This window comes from Homo sapiens, chromosome 2 (assembly GCF_000001405.40).
Source record: "Homo sapiens chromosome 2, GRCh38.p14 Primary Assembly".
Classification (NCBI taxonomy): Eukaryota; Metazoa; Chordata; class Mammalia; order Primates; family Hominidae; genus Homo; species Homo sapiens.
This window is the reverse complement of record NC_000002.12, coordinates 228574915-228599551: the sequence shown is the minus strand read 5'-3', so window position 1 is coordinate 228599551 and position 24637 is coordinate 228574915. Positions and strand designations below refer to the sequence as shown.

Here is a 24637-nt window from a genome sequence, read left to right as displayed (position 1 = left end):
CTTCCCAGCTTCCCTTGCAGGAAGGGTTCTGAAAGTGAATTGTGCGGGAGATTTGGCTCACTTCCTGTTCTCTTGTCGGCTGTTTCTCTATGTTTCCTGTTTGCCTTTATTCTTTGGGTCTCTAATGAAAGTTTGCAGTGCTTACCAGGATCTTCTCCTCCTTGTCAGGTCTAGAGCTCTGACTTTTATCTCCAATGTGAAAATGCCAGTTTCCTTTTTTGCATTTTTGGTTTCTAAGCTGTCGTTTTCTGCTTGGTTTCTCAGCCTCTCACTCCGGGTTTTTGCAGTTGAGGGTCTGGCAAATTTAAGGGTACATTTTATACAGAATACTGGACTTAGTTCTTTTAGTTCTCTGGGACCCTGGACCCTCCCATCCTGGTTTCCTTGTGGCTCTGAGCTCCACTTTGTTTCCTTTCTCCATTAAGATCGCTGTACAGTCTAGGCTGGTTCATCTCAAATTTTACTAGTAAAAAATGTCTTGTGGTCGGGCGCTGTGGCTCATGCCTGTAATCCCAGCACTTTGGGAGGCCGAGGCGGGCAGATCACGAGATCAGAAAATCGAGACCATCCTGGCTAACATGGTGAAATCCCGTCTCTACTAAAAATACAAAAAATTAGCCGGGTGTGGTGGTGGGCACCTATGGTCCCAGCTACTGGGGAGGCTGAGGCAAGAGAATGGCGTGAACCCGGGAGGCAGAGGTTGCAGTGAGCCGAGACTGTGCCACTGCACTCCATCCTGGGCAACACAGCAAGACTCCGTCTCAAAAAAAAAAAATTAAATAAAAAAATTAAAAAAAATTTAAAAAAAGCCTTGTTTGTCCTTACATAGCACTTCCATAAAATACAGCAAGTATGAATTACTGAAAAGATTTACTAAATAAAAGACATAAAGGACATAAAAATATGCTTGCTTTTAAAATTACTAGATAAAATGCACCCAAAATTGCTCTGTTAAATTATTATAAATATTTCTAAATTTGTCACATGTCATAATTATCTCAATAATACATATTGGTGTAAACAGTTTACAGAGGCCCTTTGCACCACACTTTGGTAGCCTTGTCTTAGGACATTGCCTACTGTTTAGTTGTCTAACACCACAAGGAGAGACTAATAGGAACCTACAGCTGACCTGGATGAATTTCCCCCACTCTGGGTTTTGTACCCCAAGTGCTGGCTGCACTTGCTGCTTTCCAGTCTTTTCAAACAGCAGGGGGGTTTGTTCTTGTTTCTCAATACAGCTTTCAGTTTCTTTCAGTAGGACTATGAGCTGAATACCACCTACTCCATCCTAGTTGGAGAAAAAAACCCTTTTCATCCTAGTTGGAGAAAAAACCTCCCAGCCGTGCTTCCTGTATAGCCTACAGAACTGTGAGTTAATTAAACCTCTTTTCTTCACAAATTACCGTATCTCGTGTAGTTTTTTTTTTTTTTTTTTTGAGACGAGTCTCGCTCTGTCACCCAGCCTGGAGTGCAGTGGCACAATCTCAGCTTACTGCAACCTCCACCTCCCGGGCTCATGCCATTCTCCTGCCTCAGCTTCCCAAGTAGCTGGGACTACAGGCACCCGCCACCACGCCCAGCTATTTTTTTGTATTTTTAGTAGAGACGGGGTTTCACTGTGTTAGCCAGGATGGTCTCGATCTCCTGACCTCATGATCCACCTGTCTCGGCCTCCCAAAGTGCTGGGATTACAGGCGTGAGCCGCTGCGCCCGGCCCCAGGCTCATGTACTTCTTTATAGCCATATGAGAATGGACTAACAGAGAGAACTCTCTCACTTAGCTTATGGTGATTGGTGGCTAATTCAACATTAGCCTTGAATATAAATGGCCTAAATCCTATACTTAAAAGGTATAAAATAGCCAATTGGATTTAAAAAAAAAAAAAGCCATCCTTCTGTGGTGTTCGAGTCCCATCTCACATGTAATGACACCCACAAAAAGTAAAGGGTTCTAGAAAGATCTATCATGCAAATGGGAAACAAAAACTAGGTGGATGAAACACAGGGAATTTTTAGGGTAGTTAAACTATTCTATATGATAGCACAATGATGGATACACATTATGCATTTATCAAAACCCACAGAATGTACAACAGAGTAAACCGTAATGTAAACTATGGACTTTCATTCAGTAGGACTATGAGCTGAATTCCACCTACTCCATCCTAGTTGGAGAAAAAACCCTTTCCAGAGTTTTTGATATTTGTTTTCCTATTTCCTTCACTTACCACACCTTCCTGAGGACAATGACCAAGTTTGTTCTATTTAGGGTCAGTAAACTACAACCTACCATTTACATCTTGATTTTGTAAAGAAATTTCTATTGGACTACAGTCACACCCATTCATTTACTTGTTTATGGCTGATTTCTCTACAATGACATAATTGTGTATGAGAGGTTATACGACCTACAAAGCCTGAAATATTTACTATCTCTTTACAGAAAAAGTTTACCAACCTCTTCCCTATGTCATTTGTATTTTTCTGTAACTCTTAGAATTTCAGACATTCTGCAATCATGCACTATGAGACAAATATTTATTAAAAACTGTCGAGGTACTGGGAACTGGGCAATATTCCTGAGATTCAGAGATAAAAAGGCACCATCTTTTTATAAGTAGTATGTAACAAAGTATGTGCAGTGATTACTACTGGCTGAGTTTTAAAAGATAATTCTGAATGGAGCATTTATTATCCTGAGTTGGAAACATTACTAGTCCATTATTTGAAGCCATGGTGCCATCATTATGATTTTATTTCTGATACTCTCAGGGATAGATGATATCTAGAGCACACAGTTTGCTCATTTGGTCTTTCTTAGTCAAGTCCATGACTTCCTTTTGTCATGGTGGTCTTTTACTCAAAATACATTTATATTTTTTATCGAAACAAAATATTTCAGGCTGGGCATGGTGGCTCACATCTGTAATCCCAACACTTTGGGAGGCCGAGGTGGGTGGATTACCTGAGGTCAGGAGTTCAAGACCAGCCTGGCCAACATGGTGAAACCCTGTCTCTACTAAAAATACAAAGAAAAAAAAATTAACAGGGCATGGTGGTGTGCATTTGTAGTCCCAGCTACTGGGGAGGTTGAGGCAGGAGAATCACATGAACCTGGGAGGCAGAGCTTGCAGTGAGCTGAGATCGGGCCACTACACTCCAGCCTGGGTGACAGGGCATGACTCCATCTCAAAAAAAAAAAAAAAAATTTAAAGATGCACATTTTTTGTTAAGCGTAATGAAAGAGAACTTTTGTTTATATCTCACCATTGAAAGTAGAAGCTATTTTTTCCTTTTCAGATGAGATCCGGCACGTTCAGGGTGGTATGGCCATAGACATTTAGTTTCTCATACTACTAATAAATATTCAAGTAATAATTAGTTGTGATGAAGCACAACACTTCCCCTTCTAAAACTGCTTCTCATTTGCATGGTATGTTTGTTCCCTTCATAAACCGTTTTAAATTGAGAATATATTGTTATCCAAATACTCCATTCTTATTTTTCTTTCTTGAATCATTTATTCACACTCTTTGAAGTAAGATGATGATCTGGATCTTAAACCTGTCTGTAGCCATATCACAAAATAACAAATGCTCTCTGAAGCACAATGGGACCAATCTGACACCGCATAACCCAAAAACAGACACCTGAATCGTGTTTCCTCTGGAAGCATTTTATTCTCTGTCATTGTCTACAAGAGCTGCTGCCTAATACACACAATGGAAGATTCATGAATCACTGAGGCATGAAAAAATGTTTTTGTAGCAGCAGAAATGTAATTAACTGCAACTTTGGTAATATTCTAGAGTGAAAAAAGAAAAACTTAGAGACATTTCTCAGGCAATGCTAAATATGTATGAAATTCCCAACCTTTTTATCTCACACTTAAATGATTTCATAGGCTCTTTAAGAGTCTTGCTCTTGATGCCCTTTAACATTGGAATGTCTATTCTGCTTGCTTTTCCAGGTAGCATTTTGACGCTTAGCTGATTTACTATTAACAGCAACATTTTACTAATACTTATTAATATTTGGAGTTTTTTAACAATAGCATACAAGTTATTTAGGAGCTTGTTAGAGATTCATAAGCGCATTAAATTTTTAAAAGATTTTGAAGCTCATGAAGCATGAAGAAATGTCCAACGATGTCTGGGGCATTTCTAAGATGTGATCTTCTGGTGGAACGGGATCAATGGCTCTGGGAGGGGCATGGAGAGTGTTGAGCAGAGAGTAGGTGGCACTGGGGGATGGTGAGAAGTGAGCATGGCTGGTGTTTGCCAAGAAGGTCTTCACATGCTCTGGCAAAGGTCTCCTAGTTGAAGAAAGTGCCCTCTGTTAAGAGAAAGCAGAAGATGAATGCTTATTTCTGTGCTGCATCTTACTGCATCGTGTATTTTCACAGCACTGCTAGGGTACAGGCAATTCCAGAAAGTTTGCTCAGGCCCTAGGGCACTTCAGTTCTCTTATAGTTAATTATATACAGGTCAAAACTCCCATACTTGGTGGATATATTGACTGAGGGCATCTAAAAAATCTCTGCATGGCCAAGGATAATATCTTACACAGAATAGGTCCTAATTAGCATATGTTGAAAGCAGAAAGGACACATTTAGGAAAGTTACAAGACTGGAAGGCAGGCAGGAAAGGCCACCCTTGTAAGATTAACAGAAAGTTAGATCCGGATAAAGAATTTTACAAAAGTGTCAATATAACTAATAAAAATGGCCCTAAAGAATACTTAAAATTATGGTTTATTGAGCATTTATACTCTGTGAGGACATTGTGTTTTTATTTTTCTTATTCCATTATTATCCACACTAATCCGCTGAGGTGGATCTCAGCATCAAAGTAACCTCAGGAGACTGTTAAAGACAGATTCCAGGGCACAACACCCAGACCTTGGATAATTCAGTAGATGTGGGATGGGACCTACGAACCTGCATTTTAGAAAGTATCCAAAGAGATTCTGATGTGCCACACATTACCTAGACTCTAAGTTTCTATTTATATAATCTAAGAAACCATTAACATTTCTGCCAGCCACATCACAGTCTTTTCATATTAATCTTACTGTCAGTCAAAACCCTTAGGTTCTTTTTACACTAATTACTTTAAGACAGACACTGTCTTCCTTCAGTTCCATATTTATAGAGTTCAAAGTGAGAACTGCAATGAATAATTTTAAATCTATTCTTATTCAATTTCATGTGACAAATGCTGACTTGTAGTCCAGCCTGTTGAGAATGTTTTGGATATTTATTCTGCTACGCCATGAATTATTGTCCTATCTCAAGTTTGAAATCAGCCACACATTTCCTAAGTGTCTCCTTTATTTGTAAGAGGGTCATAAACCACTAAAAGAAAATGACAAAGGGCAGAATGCTGTGAGCTCACTAGAGGCTTTCTTAAAGTTGATTGCCAACTTGTTAACTGAAAATCTTCAGCTACATTTTTTCACCAACGACAAATTCCCCTATCTCAACTTCTCTCCAGCCTTTATTTCTCCAGAGTCAATTAGAAAAATTTCACATTTTATTAAGTGCCTTACTGATCAAGTTATTGTATTTCTATTTTCTTTCTCTTTTGTGCTAGTACAGGGAATTACAACAAAGGGAGTTTGTATTCATCAGAGATCTCCAGAGAAAGAGCCAACGGGAGATTGTGTGTGTGTGTGTGTGTGTGTGTGTCTGTGTGTCTGTGTGTGTGTGTGTGTGTTTTAATTATAAAGTACTGACTCTGGGGATAATAGAGGCAGAGAGTCCCACAGTCTGTAAGCTGGAGACCCTGGAAAGCCAGTGGTATAGTTCAAATCTCTGAGAGCCAGCCCATCAGTACTATATAGACTTCTGTCTGGGTCTGAAGGCCCAGGAACCAGAAATGCTGAAGGCAGGAGAAGGTTGATGCTCTGAATAAATCAGGCAGAGTTAATGCAACCTTCCTGTGCCTTCTTGCTCTCTTCAGGCCCTCAACAGATTGGATGATGACCATCCACTTTGTGGAGAAGCATCTGCTTTACTCATCCATCAAGTCCAATGCTAGGGTCTTCTGGAACCACCCTCACGTCTATACACAGAAATATTTAACCACCCATCTGGGCATCCTGTGACCCATTTAAGTTGACACATAAAATTAACTATCAGAAGGTTTGTCTGGTGTTTAATTAAATATACACTTTTTGAGCACCCAACTATGTCTAGGCACTGTCTTTTATTTAATAAACATGCACTAGTCTTGAGGGGATCTAGCTTTGTCTCCTAATGGGTCGCAAAGCATTCATTCTAGAATTGAGTAAGACAGTGCTTATAAGAGGAAACACCATGCTTCCTCTCCATACTGGTTTCCAGTCAATGCTCCATGAGTTTTAGGGACTCCAAAGAAGTGTCTACGAGATCACTTTAATTAAAAAATGTCATAATAGGCATTTTTGTGGAAACTCAGATTACGTAGTATAGACAAATTCCTTTTGATCTAAATTAACAGAAGGATCAAATGAAAAGGGACTTTGAATATCAATCATGCTTATATGGTGATATCTTCTCTACTGTCTTCCACTATAATTTATTTATTCCTATTTATGTTTCATAAACTTAACCAATATCCTTTCTTTCCTATTACGTTGTCAATTTCTTGAGAAAAGAGGACATATTTTATTCTCTTTTTAAAACTCTGGTACAATGTTTTGCCCAATGTTGGCAAACAACAAAAATTATTTTTGGAGAAATGACTTTCAGCAGACACCTGGCAGGATGGAAGTTCATAGAACCAAAAAAAAAGAGAGAAAATTGCAAAAGAAAATTGTGTCATAGCCCACAATTTTGCCTATGATCTATCTTGGATCCCTTCTACCCGTAAAGAAATTGGGGCATATTAGGTTACCAAAACTGACTGGTTTTCAGGCTTTTTCAAAGGTGGCATAGAAGCAACTGAATGAAATTCACAAATTAGAATTTGATTCAATGGTGAAATTAAGTGCTTGCTCACTTCTCTACCAGGCACTTTGCATGTATTATCTCATGTTTAATGCTCATGCATCTTGTGAGGTAATTTTTACCATTACTCATCTTCTACAAAAGAGGAAAGGAAAGCATAGAGAACTTACTAATTTTCCCAACATGAGTGGTGGAGCAAGGAAATTCTAGGTACACTGATTCGAAGACTATAAACTCTTACATTTCTTAATCTATATACTGCACCTAGGATAGAAGAGTATTTCATATTAACCACCTTTAATACAACATCACAGTGAATTTATGTTTTACTCCATGTAGCTGCTGAATCTTTGACTCAGCCTGCTTTAGGCTTCTGTGTGCTGCTTGCACATGGAATGGAGAATTGAGATCCTTTCATGATGCAAAAGACTTTCAAGCCTGTTACAGTAAAACAATTATATTTACAAAGAGAAAAACTGTGTTCCAGTTTGCAATCAATCAGTCCTGCAAAGTCATTATCCTAGTAATTGGATTACTACAATTGTATGTGAAAAAGAGAACTACCTGATATACCCTTGATGAAAATGACAACAACATTTATATCCAAATGGGCAATTTGGGTATAATTTAACTCGATGTGTGGTAGCAAAAAACCCTCTTCTGAATATATATGTTGAATATTAATTAACATATTTTTAAAGCAAGTTTTGAGAAGTCTAAGCCATACCATCATGCCTAAAAAGAATGTAGCTTTTTACTTTACCAAAACAGCCTGTTTACAAAGAAGGGCAGTAGGGACATGGGTGTAGCCTGACTGGATTTTTCATACAGTTAGAAAGTCATTTAGAAGGCTCAGATGTCAACATGAAAGTTTGCTTTGAGATAGTTATGTCAAAGAAATTAACTGGATCATTACATAAATCTCAGTTAACCTTGGAGAACACTATGGTGTTGTCTTGGATCCCTGATATAAGTATAGGTTCCTAATGGTCTGTTTAATAAGTGCAAAGTTCTCATCATTGTCATAAAAGTTAAAAAGAAATATGCTATTTGCTTGTATCTTTTTATTTGAATTCCAAATTGTATTTAATTAAACAGGGAACTCATTGCTTAGATCTCTTAGTTATTATTTAAACATTTTCTGTTTTAATTTTAACAACGTAAATTTCTATGGTTGATAGGTTGATAATTATATTTTATAATTTATAGAATACTTTTAATATGACATATGCCCGCATTAACAGGTACTATATGAAGAAAGCACAGAATTCCATTACGATTATATGCCGATATTATCATTACAGTGATAAACAGAGATAGAAACTGCTACTTGAAATAAAGAACACAAAATATGCGAGTTGATATAGCATTAAGCATGTCTTATATGTATAGAACTGGACTGAGAGTAAAATGTAAAACAAAAAAGACATTAACCCTAATTTCAGCAAAAATTATATAACATTCAAAATAGTACTTCAAGTTTATAAAAGCCTTTTGTATATTACTTCATTTCGTTTTTACCACAATCTTGAAAGTGAATAGGAAAGACATGTTATTTTCATTTTCAGATAAGCTGTTTGGACAGAAAGAGGTTAGACGATTTGTCCTAGGTTATAGAGCTAATGAATGGCAGAACTGGGGCTGGAACTTAGTGCTTTCAATTCCAGATGCAGATATACTTCTTTTGTTTTAGCTGTCTTAACCCACATTGTATTAGGTATGGATTGGTAAAATTGAAACGTACTACATACTGTTGCCATAGGGATGGTTAATGATGTGGCACAAAGAGTGGTTCATATTTCTGCTTAATGGGATGTTACAGTTTCATTTTGGACTCCAAGCATGAAGGATTTCTTTCTAACAAAAGGGAAGTGAAAAACTTCTCCATTAGAAAAGAATACAAAGAAAATTCTAACCTAATAGATAAAATGTAGCAGCTATTCCTTCCTCCCTCCCACCTTCCCTCGTTCCTTCCCTCTCCCTTCCTAATTCTCTCTCTTCTTACCTCTAAATAAATCTTATAAATGCAATAAAACTTCTAAATGCCAAGCTCTGTGTTGACAACAGAAATAGGAAACACATAATCCCTACCATAATACAACTTACATTCTCACCAGGAGATGATGCCAAGGGAGGGGAAAAAAATAAATTAAAAATAAATTACATCATCTGTAAATTATAGCAAATTCTATGAAAAAAATCAGAGTGCAGACAAAGAGAAAAACAGAGTCCTGATTTATATAGGGGTGGTCAGGCCTCTCTGAAAAGATGGTATTTACGTTGAGCCTGAAGAGTAAAAAGAAAACAGCTTAGTAGATAAAGACACAGAAGTAGACAACAGCACACTCAAAAGCCTTAAGAAATACCTAGCTGACCACTTCAAGCAATTGAAATAAATACAGTGTTGGCTCAATGTGAGCTTTGACTAGGTGAGCAATATGACTTTGGAGAGGTGGAGAAGGGACAAAACATGCAAAATCTTTTAGGCAATGGCAAGGAGTTCAAATTGTTTTTTCTGATGTATTATGAAGTCATTAAAAGATCTGGAGAGGGAAGTGACGTGAGTGAATTCTTATTTTAAAGACAACTTTTACTACTACTTGGAGAATGAATTGGAAGGGTTGGGTGGGAGGAGAGAGAGTGTAAATGTGAAGATCAATTAGGATTCTGTTGTAATAGACTAGGTGAGAGTTGACTGGACTGGGGTGGTGGGAGCTAAGATGGAGAAGATTAGGGGTACTTAAGTATTTGGGGAGTGTAAGTATTCAGGTCTTGGTAATTAATTGGATGTTAAGGATTGAGAGAGGAATCACAAAGAATTTCTAAACTTGGGGCTTTACCAGGCCGATAATTAGTTATGCTGTAATTTAGAGATATTGGGAAATTGAGGCGGGAAGATAGACCGATTGAGGAAGTATAGAATTAGGGGATTATGCTGCCTTAGAAATGGCTATAAACTGTAATATTTTCTATATCAAGCTGGATATATAATTTGTGGTGTTACCTGTATGTAGATAGTATTTTAGTTCACTGAACTGTTAGTATCTAATATCATCTAGAGGGTAAATTTCATAGAGATTTGCAAGAACAAAGTCATGTCAATAAAGACCACAGAGTCAATGGGGAGACTCAGTAGAAATGGACAATAAGGCAGGAGAAACACTATGAAAGTAGAAACGTAGTATGTACACCAGTAGAAAGTAGCACGGACACCAGCAGCATAGAGAAGAAAGGGTTTTGAGAAATATAAGGTATTTAAAGTGGTGGAATTCTACTTGGATATTGCGTAAGATGAGTCAAAAGGAACTACCACTAGATTTGGCAAAAGCAGTTATGAAGGTCAATGGAGTGCTTATCTGGAGAAATTTTATTGGTGAGTAAAGGTAAATACCAGACTAGCATAAATTAAGTCAAAAAAATTAGTAAATGAAAAGATACTCAACATTATTAGTCATCGAGCAAATGTAAATCAAAACCACAATGAGATAACATATATGTCAACTGGATGATTTTCATAAAAAATACCTATAATAACAAGTGTTGGTGAGAATGTAGAGAAACTGGAACCATCATACACTTTTGGTGGAAATATGAAATAATGCAGTTGCTTAGAAAAACAGTCTGGTAACTTTTCAAACTGCTAAATATAGAGTTATCAGATTATCCAACAATTCTGCTTCTGGACACGTACCAAAGATAAGTGGAAACATAAGTCCACACAAAATCTTGTACACAAATATTCATAGCCACATTATTCGGAAGAGCCAGAAAGTACAAACAACCCAAATATCCATGAGTTGATGGAAGGATAAATAAAATGTGGCATATCTATACAAAAAATATACTTTAGTCATAAAATGAATGAAGTACTGACGTATGCTACAGTGTGGAAAAACCATGAAAACATCATGCTAAGTGAAAGAAGCTAGACACAAAGGACCACACGGTGTATTATTCCATTGAATGAAATGTCCAGAAGAGGCAAATCTGGAGACAGAAAGCAGGATAATATTTTCCTAGGATTTAGGAGGCATGGGAGTGAGGAGGAGGTGGAGAGATTAAGAAATGACAGCTAAGGAGTCCAGGCTTGTTTTTAGGGTAATGAAATGTTCTAAAAATGATAGCGTTTATAGACGCACAACTTTGTAAATATGCAAAAACTATTGAATTGTTCACATTAAGTGGGTGACTTTTGTGGCATATAAATTATACCTTAATCAAACTGCTAAAAAAAATAGAAAATTAGCAAGTGAAGACAGCACAGGAAGAACAAAGAAAAAAGGAAGGAAAGAAGAGGCCGGGTGCGGTGACTCACTCCTGTAATCCCAGCACTTTGGGAGGCCGAGGCGGGCGGATCACGAGGTCAGGAGATCGAGACCACGGTGAAACCCCGTCTCTATTAAAAATACAAAAAATTAGCCGGGCGCAGTGGCGGGCGCCTGTAGTCCCAGCTAATCAGGAGGCTGAGGCAGGAGAATGGCGTGAACCCAGGAGGCGGAGCTTGCAGTGAGCCGAGATCGCGCCACTGCACTCCAGCCTGGGCGACAGAGCGAGACTCCGTCTCAACAAAAAAAAAAAAAAAGAAGAAGAAGAAAGTATTCAGTATGTTTAGCTTGTTAGGAACAAGCAGGGGATGAGAAGGAAGACCAAGTGGTGAGATAATACCAATTTCTGCTTTGGATTAAGGTGTTTATTAAATTATTAAACATGCAGAAATATTTTTTAAAAGATGACTCTTTTCAATGAACAATTACAATATTGGATCGCAAACCAAGGATTATGATTAATCCAATTCTTTTGACCTGAGAGTCAAAAAATAAAAATTCTTATTTGAGAGAAAGGATAGCAGGAAGGAAGACCTACTAAGCAGGATTTCTGCTTAGAAGATTTTATTTTCCACTTAAGGTTTCCACTAATGTTGGATCAATCACTCACGATCAAGGCACTAATAACGTATTTAGAACAGTAACCAAAAAAGTAACTTCAAAGCAACTTTAACAAGTAGTTTAAATGGTCAAAGTACAAATTGAATAGCACAAGTGAAATAAATCTCTCAATATCCTCATCAATAAAAGAAAATTATAATCAAATAATTTATAAAATCCACACTCTGCATTTTAATAAATCTGAGATATCTAAATAAATCTCTTCTAGAATGCTATTCCCTTATTAAAAAGGTGTTGACCTCTGTGAATGGAAGAATCACAGAAGAGTCACGCCAGGTGGTCTCCATGGACCAACATGCGCTAACATATGAAAATACCAATAAATATGAAAAATCAACTTCATGTTTCCACACATCTGATACACATCATGTTTTCAAATATAAATAATTTAACCATGATGTGACAATTTAAGGGGAAAAACCCTTTTGTTCTGTCAATAATAGTTACTTGACTAAATGACGGATGATGAAAGGACATTGAAAAGCATTTTGGAAAGATTTATATGAAAATGGAGATGAAATATGGAGAAGGAAGATTAAGAAGCCAGACCATTTTTTCTATAATTATAATTTGATATTCTTTTCTTCATAAATGTTGATTAATTTCAAGTAAGAAAGGGAAATCATTGGAATATTAGGCGGCAATAGAACTAAGATTAAAATCAACAGCTGGAGTGTTGGTGAGGTATCTGTGTTTCTTGGCACCAATTTTGTTATTCATTTAGGAATGTTGTTTTAAGGGGTGTTCATTAGCTACTCATGGTGTATGGGCTCATTGCACTGCACACATTTTCACATTATGATGAGTCTGTTACCAACTAAATATACCATGTGGTCTAATGATTGTATCAGGATTTGAGAAAGAGCCTGCTTCTTAATTAGGATCAAAAAAGTCTTGAAGACAAAAAGATAATCAAATAATCTTATAGTATTAGAGTTGAAGTGAGTTTGTCCAAACTTCTCATTTTATAAATGAGAAATCTGAGGCCCAAACAGGTTAAATAACTTCCCCCTGATCATTTAATGTCGGAGGATCTAGGATTGCAAATGTCCTAATTCCTTGTCTGTCTCGTATTTACTGTACAAAAAATAATAAACCACTATAATTATTTGCCCTAATTCTGAATTCAAATAAAACAAGGTTTTAAACATTTTACAATCAAATTTCCAACTTTTAAGTATAGCAAAAAGCAACATTTGGAGGCGGAGGTTGCAGTGAGCCGAGATTGCACCACTGCACTCCAGCCTGGGCAACAAGAGTGAAACTCCATCTCAAAAAAAAAAAAAAGAAAAAGAAGAAAACTTGATTTTCCCACAATACTGCTTTGTCAAAGAAAAATAGCAATGTGGCTCTCGATGCAAGGAGTTTCTTAGGCAACAGAAAACCAATCCTTTCTTGAACTGCATCTAACTACTGATAATCTCACATACTGACTTAAAAATGTAAAGATTAAATATATTTTTACTCTTCTAGAAGCTGCATTTTATTCTTAACATTTGTTTGCCAAATGGTCAAAGTTAAACAGGGGAAAAAAATGTTTAAGACTACTGCAATAGAGGAGAGATGCCACAACACTAAAGTCCGAGTTCAGCTCCCTGAAACAAATGATGAGAGAGTTTTTTTGTTTGTTGGTTTGTTGGTTGGTTGGTTTTTTTGAGGAGGACTTTCACTCTTGTTGTCCAGGCTGGAGTGCAGTGGTGCAGTCTCGGCTCACTGCAACCTCCGCCTCCCGGGTTCAAGCAATTCTTCTGTCTCAGCCTCCCAAGTAGCTGGGATTACAGGCACCCGCCACCACGCCTGGCTAATTTTTGTATTTTTAGCAGAGACGGAGTTTCACCATGTTGGCCAGGCTGGTCTCCATCTCCTGACCTCAGATGATGCGCCTGCCTCGGCCTCCCAAAGTGCTGGGATTACAAGGCGTGAGCCACCACGCCCGGCCAAGAGTTTTGAAGAGTTGAGGTTGGGGAATCACAAGCCATCTGTTTGCCCTCACTCAATGGAAAAGTAAACTTTCTCCTATCTTCATGATGGGGTAATTTTTGCACTTGGAGCAAGGCACCCACTAGGTCAGGCTCCTATCTTTCCACAGCAACTGGGCAGTAGGGATGCTAGCCTCTTTGATGATTACATTTCAAAGGGACGGCTCCCAGGTCCTTGAGAGAGTCAGTCCTGGGTTGTAAAACTGGAAAGAAGCTTCTAAAAATATTTTCATTTCAAAAAGTCAGAGGAAGAGTTCATAATAAGTTTTCTAAAGTAAATACCCTAAGAAAAAGGAGGGAAGGCTCCTCTGTGTTCAGACCAACTGGATGCTTTGAGGGCAGGATGGGAAAGTGGTTAGGGGCCTAGAGGCAGGAGGAAGCCTATCTAGAGTGTAGTCAAACTGAGGGACATGCTAGGGCTGACTTGGTCATGCCCAAGGATGGTTCTTCCCAGTAAACTGATGTCATTTAAAAAATGCTGATTATGGCTGCATAGTATTCCATGGTGTATATGTGCCACATTTTCTTAATCCAGCAAAACTTAAAGTATAATAAAAAAATAAAATAAAAATAAAAAATGCTGATTATATCAGAACCATTCAAAATCAATCAAAGTGATTTGATGCATGAACAGAATTGTAATGACATGTAAATACTTAGGCAGTCAATTTAGACTTTAGGCATTTGGAAGATTCTATGCCTTCTTCCTACATGAAGAGCCAGCCGTTGGGGAGAGACAAGGGATAAAGTGTTAATTCCTCTCTCTTCCTATCTTGTTGTTTGTAATCTGTAATTTACACAATCTTCTTCTACAGAGTAATTGTTTTCCTTTTCCCTATTTACCACTTCAGGTCCCCAAATTTATTTTCATCTCCCAAGACAATCATACTCTTTAAAGTTCTAACCATTAGAAGAGCTGGGAATGGTCACACCAAAGAAAGTCATAACCATATTTTGTGAGCATGATTCTCATCTTTCACTTATCTCTATGTTTGGTTAAAATTGCATACATTGTGGCATTTATAGCTTTGCAAAAGCTCAAATTCTAAATTGTATTTAATTTAGAAGGTTTTGGCAACAAAGCCATTTAGTCATTTTTGTTCTTTTCTCTAAATTATAACTTCTTATAATATGATTTTAAAATTATATTTAGTGCCAGTATTTTATTACTATATTCTAGGTTTTGCATATGAATTGTTGATAATTGATACTAAATTTAGCTTTTTGTAATTATCTGTCATTTTTTCATAGAGTTACGTGTGAAAGATGATCCATCATTTTATTCCAAAATCATTAATTAACTTATGAGACAATTTTTAAAAAATACAAAGAAATTAACCAACTGTCATTCAACAAAGTATTCTAAGAAATAAATTTTTGGTAACTTTAAAAAATAAATAAAATCTCATGCTTGGATTATCTTTTATATTCTTGATTCCCAATCATTTTCAAGAGAAGAAACAACAGGGTTTTTTAATTAAGTACTTTTATCCCAGAGGGGATTTGGCTTCCAGTTCCCAAGATGAATCCAGCTTGGGTTTCAGCTCCTTCTACCAAGCAAGGTGGACTCAATGTGAAGTTCAAGTCAATAACTGGAGCCCAGCTGTGAAAAACCCCAGGGAGATTGAAGGCACATAGAGCCTGACATACAGGAAACTTGGTGGCCTAGAGAGGTCGGGGGGAGGACTAGAGGAGAGGTTGGGGGAATAGAGGAGATACACTGAGGACAGAATCAGGGTGATGTGGCTAAGTCGCATTGCCCCTGGAGAGCTGTGGCCAGAAGTTTCCACCTGAATGGGATGGGGCAGAACTGCACCTAAACTGTCATCTCTACCACTATGTGTGGGGAATTTATCAAGTGCTGCTGGGCTGGGCCAGGCATGCAAGTAGGGCACAAAAGATTCTTGGTCCCAATAAGCCATTATCTTAAGGCTCTGATCCCCAGGTTTTGCTGCAGCTGTGCTATTAGCTGGAATGCAGCAGTGCTGTTCAAAAGGAGAAGAACATGAGTTTGTGTCAGAACTGAGGTGAGGAATAGGTGATAATAGTTCTGTAACACCCTGAGGATTCCCTACAGACCCCTTAGACAATGGTACAGGAGGGTACTCATCCCTAGAGCAGAGCAGAGCAATGCCTGGGACAGGGAAATGAGGTGGTGAGGAGACCCAGGAAAACAAAAGCTGTATATGCTGAATCCCAGAGTTCATAAAGTCAGCAAGAAGGCCCATCCTACTGGACCCACAAATTTTCACAAACGCTCAGTTTTTGTTTTCCTTCAAGGCTGCCATTCCAAGCCCAGGTAGAGGGCAGTTTCAGGGGAATAAAGATGAGCTCAGGGGAAGAGAGACAGAAAGAGAGAAAGACAGACAGAGAGAGAGAAAGGATGTTGATATGGTTCGGCTGTGTCCCCACCCAAATCTCACCTTGAATTGTAGTTCCCATAATCCCCACATGTTGTGGGAGGGAAGAGGTGGATATAATTGAATCAGGGGTGGGTTTCCCCACCCTGCTCCCATGATAGTGAGTTCTCACAAGATCTGATGGTTTTATAAGGGGCTTCCCCCTTCGCTGGGCACTCATTCTCCTTCCTGCCACCATGTGAAGAAGGACGTGTTTCCTTCTTCTTCTGCCATAGTTGTAAGTTTCTTGAGGCCTCCCCAGCCTTGCAGATCTGTGATTCAATTAAACCTCTTTCCTTTATAAATTACCCAGTCTCGGATATGTCCTTATAGCAGCGTGAGAATGGAGTAATACAGATATTATATGCACAGTAAAAGAAATAAGACCCTACACCAGAGGAAGTGAACCTAGTAGCCAGGACAACAATTTAAAACAAGCACAACAAAGACTTTTAAAAAGATAAGAGTAACAGCAATGGGTGGTTATGAAGAACTAACTGAAAATATTTAACTTGAATAAAATAATTGTTGAGATAAAGCAATCAAGGAATAGAGATTTAAGTGGACACAAAGACAAATTGGTAAGCTGAAAATCTTCACTGAGAAACTCTCTCAGAAGGTGTCATGAAGAGATAAATATATATATATAACAAAATGTAAAACATATTGGGCCAGAAATAGAAATATCAAACCTTTTTCTAATGAGTCCCAGCTATAAAGATGTCAGACTGATGAAAAGAAAGGAATGTACACCTGAGCAGAGAGGGGATAAAAAGGCAACACAAGGACACAACAAGCTCTCCTACTAAAATGAGCCTTCTATAACTGAGACAGCAGTTTTCTGTGAACAAAATTCATAAATCTTATAAATTTATGAATTAAACAAGGACTTTAAATACAATATTTTTGCACCTAGCCAAGTAGATAAGTGGAAGTGTGACAATGAAAACTAATAAACAAAGAAGACACTTGAAGTTTGATTTTCCCCAAAACTGATTTTAACGTCAGAATCTGAGTAAAAGCAGCTTACTTGGAAGATGGGAGTATTCTTGAAATTATCATTCAGGACTGGGGAAGCGAGGCAGGAGGACTAGAAGCCAAAAGATACTGCATTAAGGATCAGGTATCACTGCACTCACCTGGCGCCCAATACCGCTGAGGACTCCTGGGAGGTGGGCAAACATGCCTCAAAGTTGTCCCCCTGAGGGGCAAGAAGTTTGAGGTAATTGTCCATCAGATTTCATCTCTAATTGATAAGCATTGCTCACAAGAATGTTAACCCCAAGAAGTTTTTGCTTGTCCTGATAGGGACTGAACATGGTCCTTTGGCCAGAGAAAGCTCTCAGCTGCAACCACAAGAGTTTACTTTATGGGATTAAAGTGAAGCAACAATTCCTGTTACTACAAACAAGAAGAGTGAGACTTAATCAGGGGATCTTGGGAGAAGAAAAAGAATACAGTCATTATAAAAAAAAAAAAAGGAGGAGGAAAGTTTTACAATGGACTCAGTGAATTAATGAATTAATTTAATGAATTGGAAATTAACACTAGATTACTCACATATAATGTAGAGCAAAGCAACATTTTTAAAAATGTGAGAACACAATTAAGAACCAGGAGGCTAGATAAAGAGAAAGCAACATTTATGTAATACAAGCATTAGAAGAAAAGAGTGGAAGAGAATGGCAGAAAGGTAATAGAAGGAAAGATCATTGTAGAGAATTTTCTAGAGTAGTAGAAATAAATCTTCAAGTTAAAAGCAAACTCTAATTTACAATTAGATACATGATGACTAGACTGAAAATATGAAACCTAAAGAAGCCATCTTAAAAAGTGTCAAATAAGAAAACTGACTTAGGCAATGTCAGTTTAACTGCCAGCCTATTTCTCAACAGCATGCTAAATGCTATAAGGGAATAAAAGAATAATCTCAAAATGTTGAGCGCAAAAACAGTTACACAATTTTATTGTATCCAGTTGACTTTCATCCAACACTAAGGGCAAAATAAAGGCATTTTCAATCAAGCAAAGATGGTAAATATATTAAAAGGTGAATAAGAACATTGACAAAATATCATAGTACACGTGATACTATGAAAATCTAAAGATGCAATGTGAACTCAGTTTATGCATTAAAAAAGGAGCAGCTTTTATTTCCAGTAGTATGGAAGAAACTCCCAAATGAAACAATTAACATGCTGAATAAATATTTTCAAATGTATATTTTTAAGTGCATTGATGAGTTTGCAAATTAGCAAGGCCAAAAGCTAAGTGAACACAGTAAATTAAAGAAGGGAGTAAAAACTGAAACCAGTTTTTATCTTGGGGGTATTTGCTACACGGATGGATTTGAACCTCAATTATCACAGTTTCATGAGTTATGAGCATGACAGAAAATGTCCATATGAGGCATCTTCTAGGCTACATCCTCAGGGTAAAGAATGAACTAGAAATAACCCTCTCCTTCCCCATTCTACCTACCCGTACACTTATCATTCTGTCTTGCAAATACCTATCAGAGGCTTGCAAGAAACAAAACTAACAAACAAACAAAATCCCATGCAAAAATCCTCATAGGTTACCTCTTAAGAGCTTCGGCAATTAGTGAATGACTGAAGGGATTTTTTTTCCTTTATAATTTGTAACCAAAGTTTTTCTCAGATGATTTGAATTTTGAATTGATAGTACTGAGGTGCTCCTAAGTGACTTTAGCCAAGCCTTTAGTTTAAAGTAGTCCTGAACTGGTAGTGCCCCAAAGTGCCTGAAGAATAAAAAGCTCAGCTTCAAAGCTGAATTAAAAGAATTCTCGTGGATTGATTTCCAAGAAATATGAATTTCAACGAGAGAGAGAGAGCGAGACAATGGAGAGAATGGAGAAATTAAAAACGGGGAGAATGGGGAAATTTAAAAAGTAAAAAGTAATAGAACATTCAATGATATAAAGCAACATAAACATATAAAATAAATATGTTTAATATATTTATAACATTAAAAAGGTGATAAAAACATGAGTAAGGCACAAAAGACTACAAAATGGCAAACAAATGTTAAGAATAAAATGCAACTTCTAGAAGAGTAAAAATATATTTCATATTTACATTTAAAAACATATTTAATACTTACATTTTTAAGTCAATATATGAGATTATCAGTCAGATGCAGTTCAGGAGAGGACTGATTTTCTATTGCCTAAGAAGCTCCTTGCCTGGACAGCCACATTCCATCCCTTCTCACTGAGGTGTTTCCTCATGACCTTGACTAAAATGTCTAACTTTCTCCACTCTGGAGATTTCATATATAATTTCCTCTTTTTATTTTTTGTTCTATTTCTCCTTCTAGAATGAGACCTCTATTGAGTAGTGGACACTGTTCATTTTCTTCACTGAAGTAGTTCAGGACCTATAAGAGTGTTTAAATATAGAAGTAGCTCAGTCAGTATTTACTGATTGAATAGAATGGTGAGCCTGAAACAAATTAAGAAGAACACAATTAAAAAGTCCAGCAGATATAACATATGAAGAAGAGTAAGAGAGCAAAATAGGATAAAAAATTATCAGAAAGCAAAACAAAAAGCCAAAGCTATTTCAACTAGCTATTGCAGAATAATAATGACATAATTATAGGATCCAGTATGTCTAGCAACTAACTAAAGAAATTTCAGAAAGAGGGAACAGAAACATTAGAGAAACAGAAATGATCAATAAATAACATGAACAATAAATAACATGATTTATGATTTACATAAGTCACCATAATAGTCTAATAATGTAAATGATGACTATTACATCACAACAGTCAGAAGATCAGAGGAGAGACACCATGTTCACCATATATATGTTTGATGATAAGATAAGGACTATCAAGAAAAAAATCAAGAAATGTTACATAGAAATGTAAATGAATGTGTTCAGCTGAAATAAAGTGTTTGTCTTTGGATGTTAGTCGAGGGGTACAAAATTTCAGTTATACAAGATAAATAAATTCTGGAACTCTAACATAGAACAATGTGGTGATAGTAAACCATATTGTATTGTATATTTCAATTTTGCTAGGCGGGCCGACTTTAAGTGTTCTTGGCACACAAGTACACACACACACATATACACACAAACACACGCAAAGTAACTACCTGAGATTATGGGTATGTTAAGTAGCTTGATTGGTGAATATTTCACAAGGTATACATATAGTAAATGATCAACTTTGACACCTTAAGTGTATACATTTGAATTGTCAATGGTACCTCCAAAAAGTTGGGGGAAAAGGTGAAATAATAAAGACACACAAACCGAAAGTGGGAATCAAAAATTTGAAGTGGCTGGATAGTTACTTGTGTTTTTAGTCATAAACCTTGTGGTACAATTTGGGTTTTAAAATATATATGTGAGTTAATCTGATAAAGAATTAGGATGACGGCCGAGCATGGTGACTCACGCCTGTAATCCCAGCACTATGGGAGGCCAAAGCAGGTAGATCACCTGAGGTCAGGAGTTTGAGACCAACCTGGCCAACATGGTGAAACCCCATCTCTATGAAAAATACAAAAATTAGCCGGGCGTGGTGGTGCATACCTGTAATCCCAGTTACTTGGGAGGCTGAGGCAGGAGAATCGCTTGAACCTGGGAGGCTGAGGTTGCGGTAAGCCGAGATTGCGCCACTGTACTTCAGCCTGGGTGACAGAGTGAGACTCTGTCTCAAAAAAAAAAAAAAAAAATTAGAACAATAATTATACATTTGAGACTATATTTTATAGTAATAAAAGTAAATATCCTTTTTTTTCACCAAAACTGGAATGCAGAATGTTTGGCTGCACACATAATCATTTGTTGGTGATGATCTAAAATAATGGAAGTGAATCTACACTTCATTCTTCAAAATCGTATATAAAATATTTTGTACCTTTGTAGCACATTGAAAAAAAGATTTTGAAATACATGTATGTTTAAGGCAAATAAACTCTCATTCCAAGTAAGCTGGTTAAATACACACACACACACACACACACACACCACATCCAAGGAAAATACATGTCTTAACAGATATTGAAGATATTTACAATATTTTGGAAAAGTTTAATCCTAAATCAATATATTTTTTCAAAGGGAAAACGTTTATTTTGGAAAAAAAGTTTTCAGTATTAAGGAGGTTTTGAAATTTAAAGTTCACAGAAACAAAGGCTTCAACCTCAAACCTTTACCAGGGAGAAAAGGCTTCATTATCAGCTGCTGTCAGCCACGTGTGTCAGCTGGTACCAAGTCCTGTAATCATTTGGAAAGAAAGGAAAAAATACCTGTTTTCATTATGAATTCACAATCTATTATATGTGTTATAATAAAACAATTTAAAAATCAGTCAACAAAATATTTGATAAAATATCTATATCTGCTTTGCTGGGAGATATGACAGGGCTTCGCAGCTAATAGGCTACCCAAATTGCAAAACATTGTAGCAAAAACAAGCACTGGAATCAAGTCTCACTTCTGCCAAGTTTCATGCTGGTGATGATTTTTTTTTTTTTTTTTTTTTGAGATGGAGTCTCGCTCTGTCGCCCAGGCTGGAGTGCAGTGGCACGATCTCGGCTCACTGCAAGCTCCACCTCCCGGGTTCATGCCATTCTCCTGCCTCAGCTTCCCGAGTAGCTGGGACTACAGGCGTCCGCCACCGCGCCCGGCTAATTTTTTGTATTTTTGGTAGAGATGGGGTTTCACCGTGGTCTCAATCTCCTGACCTCGTGATCCACCCACCTCGGCCTCCCAAAGTGCTGGGATTACAGGCGTGAGCCACCGCTCCCAGCCTGATGATTTTTATTAAATAAGATATTTTAGAGGCAGCGTGAGGCTTGCCTTGGTTTGCTTTATGACTTTGCATGAATTTTCAGCAATTTCAAAAAACAGAGAAGGATTTGTGTATATTAATCTTCACCTAAAATATTTTATGAAACACAGTTTCTTTGAAGGAAAGGCATGATTTCAACTTTCACTAAATAATTATAGCTGATGTTTATCCATTGCCTACTATGTGCTATACTTGATATGAAGTGTTTGATATTAATGTTCTCATGTGAAATATGCACTGTCCATGCAATGCCTCCGTGGTAGGGAGAGAAAAGATTGTATTTCTGGGAGTGCAGGGACTTAAAAGCTCTGGAGAGAAATTAGATCGTTCCCATTAAATGCTTCCCTTTAGACTCTGATGAATTGGAATGATAAACAGTTAATCTGTTATTTTGGCAAACAAAAATTTGGATTCCTCTAAATTCTATGTCCGTCAGTGTAGATGGGTTTTCTGCTATGTAAACGTCACATTTCCCAATAGTTACGGATAGTGTGTATTTCACAAACATCAATGAATAAAAAAAGAATTATAAAGCAGCTTACTGTGTTTGGTCTTTTTAAATTTTTGAACACAAAATGAAGAGTCTCTGGTTTACAAGGCAAAGAAAGACACATTAAATAGGAATTTTAAAAGTGTTCCATTGACATGAGATTAAGAATTTTACTAGTTCTTAGACTTGGTGGGGGGAAGGAAAAAGAAAGGGAAACTAAGACCAAATTCACTCTTTGTTGATGCCAAGTGTTCTTGAAAAAGAGGGTTTAAAGTGAAATATTTAGCACAAATTGAATCTGTATTAACTTGAATTTTGATATTTGATAGTTAAAGCAAAAGTCAAATTGTATGAATTTGGTATTCAGTTTTTTCTAATCTTAGTGCATGAACCTACTTTTTTTTAAAAAAAATTGTCATTTTCAGGTTAAAATTGAAGAGGTGGCTTATTATTCTTCAGTTGGGCTGCAATTCACTCTCCTACCCCAATCATTTCCACCATTCTTATGGCAACAATAGCCAATATTGCTGTACACACACAAAAAAAACTGACTGCTGTGGCTGACCCAAACCATGTAACAACCATGATTTTGCTTCTTGACAGCACTCCCCATCATTATACATCAAAGATCACAATGGCCACTTAATGACAAAAGCCAGCATGGCTAGAGACTGAGAGAAGCAAAAATGTTCCAAAACTGTCATTGTAGCAGAATAAAAATTGTGCAGTGACACCTCATTAAATCACCAGAACCTCAACATTCTCATACAATTCTATTGTAACTAGTGGTAGAGATCAAGAGACTGAAGGGAGAAAAATGTCACCTACTATTTCTAACACAAGTCATTAAACTAGTTCAGCATGTCTGGATGTCTTCCAAATGGCCTAAATGTTCCTGACTGTGTGGCTACTAGCTTAACTCTCTGCAGTCCTTGACTGACAGCTAATCAACCCTGAATTTGATAGCCATTTTGGCACCATGTGTATAAAACCGGAATGAACTAAGCTGTTTATTTGTACATCTTAGCTTTTGCCTTTTATGTTATGTTTATTTCTCAACTTATACCATTTACACATTTTCTGATAACCCTATTACCAATTCAAGAGTGATAGGAGAAATGAAACAAATATTCTCCATAAAGAAAAACATTTCCAAGGTATTTTAAAGTTTAACATACATATTTTAGAATAAATTATTAATAAATTAGCACATTTATTTAATGAAACAAATATTCTCCATAAAGAAAAACATTTCCAAGGTATTTTATTTATTTATTTATTTTTATTTTTTCATGTTTAGCTTGAATTTAATAGAAGTGCATGTATTGAATGATAATTGCAAAGAGGCTTATGAACAAGCAGTATATTTGGAAGATTTTTCTGTATAAAATGATTTTTAAAAGTATGTTAACTGGTATTATCAATCCTCTGACTTTTTATTATATTATTATATTATGGATAATTTTTATTCCCTCTAAGATATTCAACTGAGGAAGAAAAAGTAGTTTTCTTAAATAATTGACATGATGTGTTTACATATTTGTTTTGAAATATGTGTAGCTATTTAATAAGAATTATTTATTTTCAGCTCATTATTTTTCTGTGGATAGTATGATCATGTAATTTATTTTTCAAGTTTCTCACGTATGTATATTGTATAAGCTGTATTCACCAGTTTGGAAAACAGTAGGATTCTTGTTTTCTCTTAAATTTTACTATCAGTAATAATTATCAATGTAATGTGATGAATTCTTTATTATGATTCACATAACTAGGAAAAGAATTCTTAGAAAATACATATTCTGTGCTTTCCCTCTTTCTAATAGTCATGGATAGGAGGAAGCTATATTGAATTTTAAAATAGTTTAACAGAAGTAATTGGATCTCACACAACAGAAAATCAGTTTAAAATATACATTTTGCCAGCTCAGAAAATTCAGTCCATTATCACTACTGAATTCACGTTTATTCTTTTTCTTGCAAAACAGATAAGAAAAACCTCCATTGTATCCAGAGGCCTTAAGTTTGGCTTAATTCTTCTTCCTCCAGCCCA

The 24637-nt window shown here is 36.7% G+C and overlaps 2 long non-coding RNA genes across 2 annotated transcripts in view; one reads left to right on the top strand and one right to left on the bottom strand.

Moving 5' to 3' along the window:
• Window positions 1-24637, top strand: part of LINC01807 (long intergenic non-protein coding RNA 1807) — a 128137-nt gene that overhangs the window by 11844 nt on the left and 91656 nt on the right. The window lies entirely within an intron of this gene.
• Window positions 4258-19472, bottom strand: LOC105373921 (uncharacterized). The gene is made up of 3 exons (XR_007088115.1): window positions 19383-19472; window positions 7106-7199; window positions 4258-4338 (listed from the first exon to the last, which is right to left on the bottom strand). It is a non-coding gene; the product is annotated as an uncharacterized LOC105373921 (long non-coding RNA).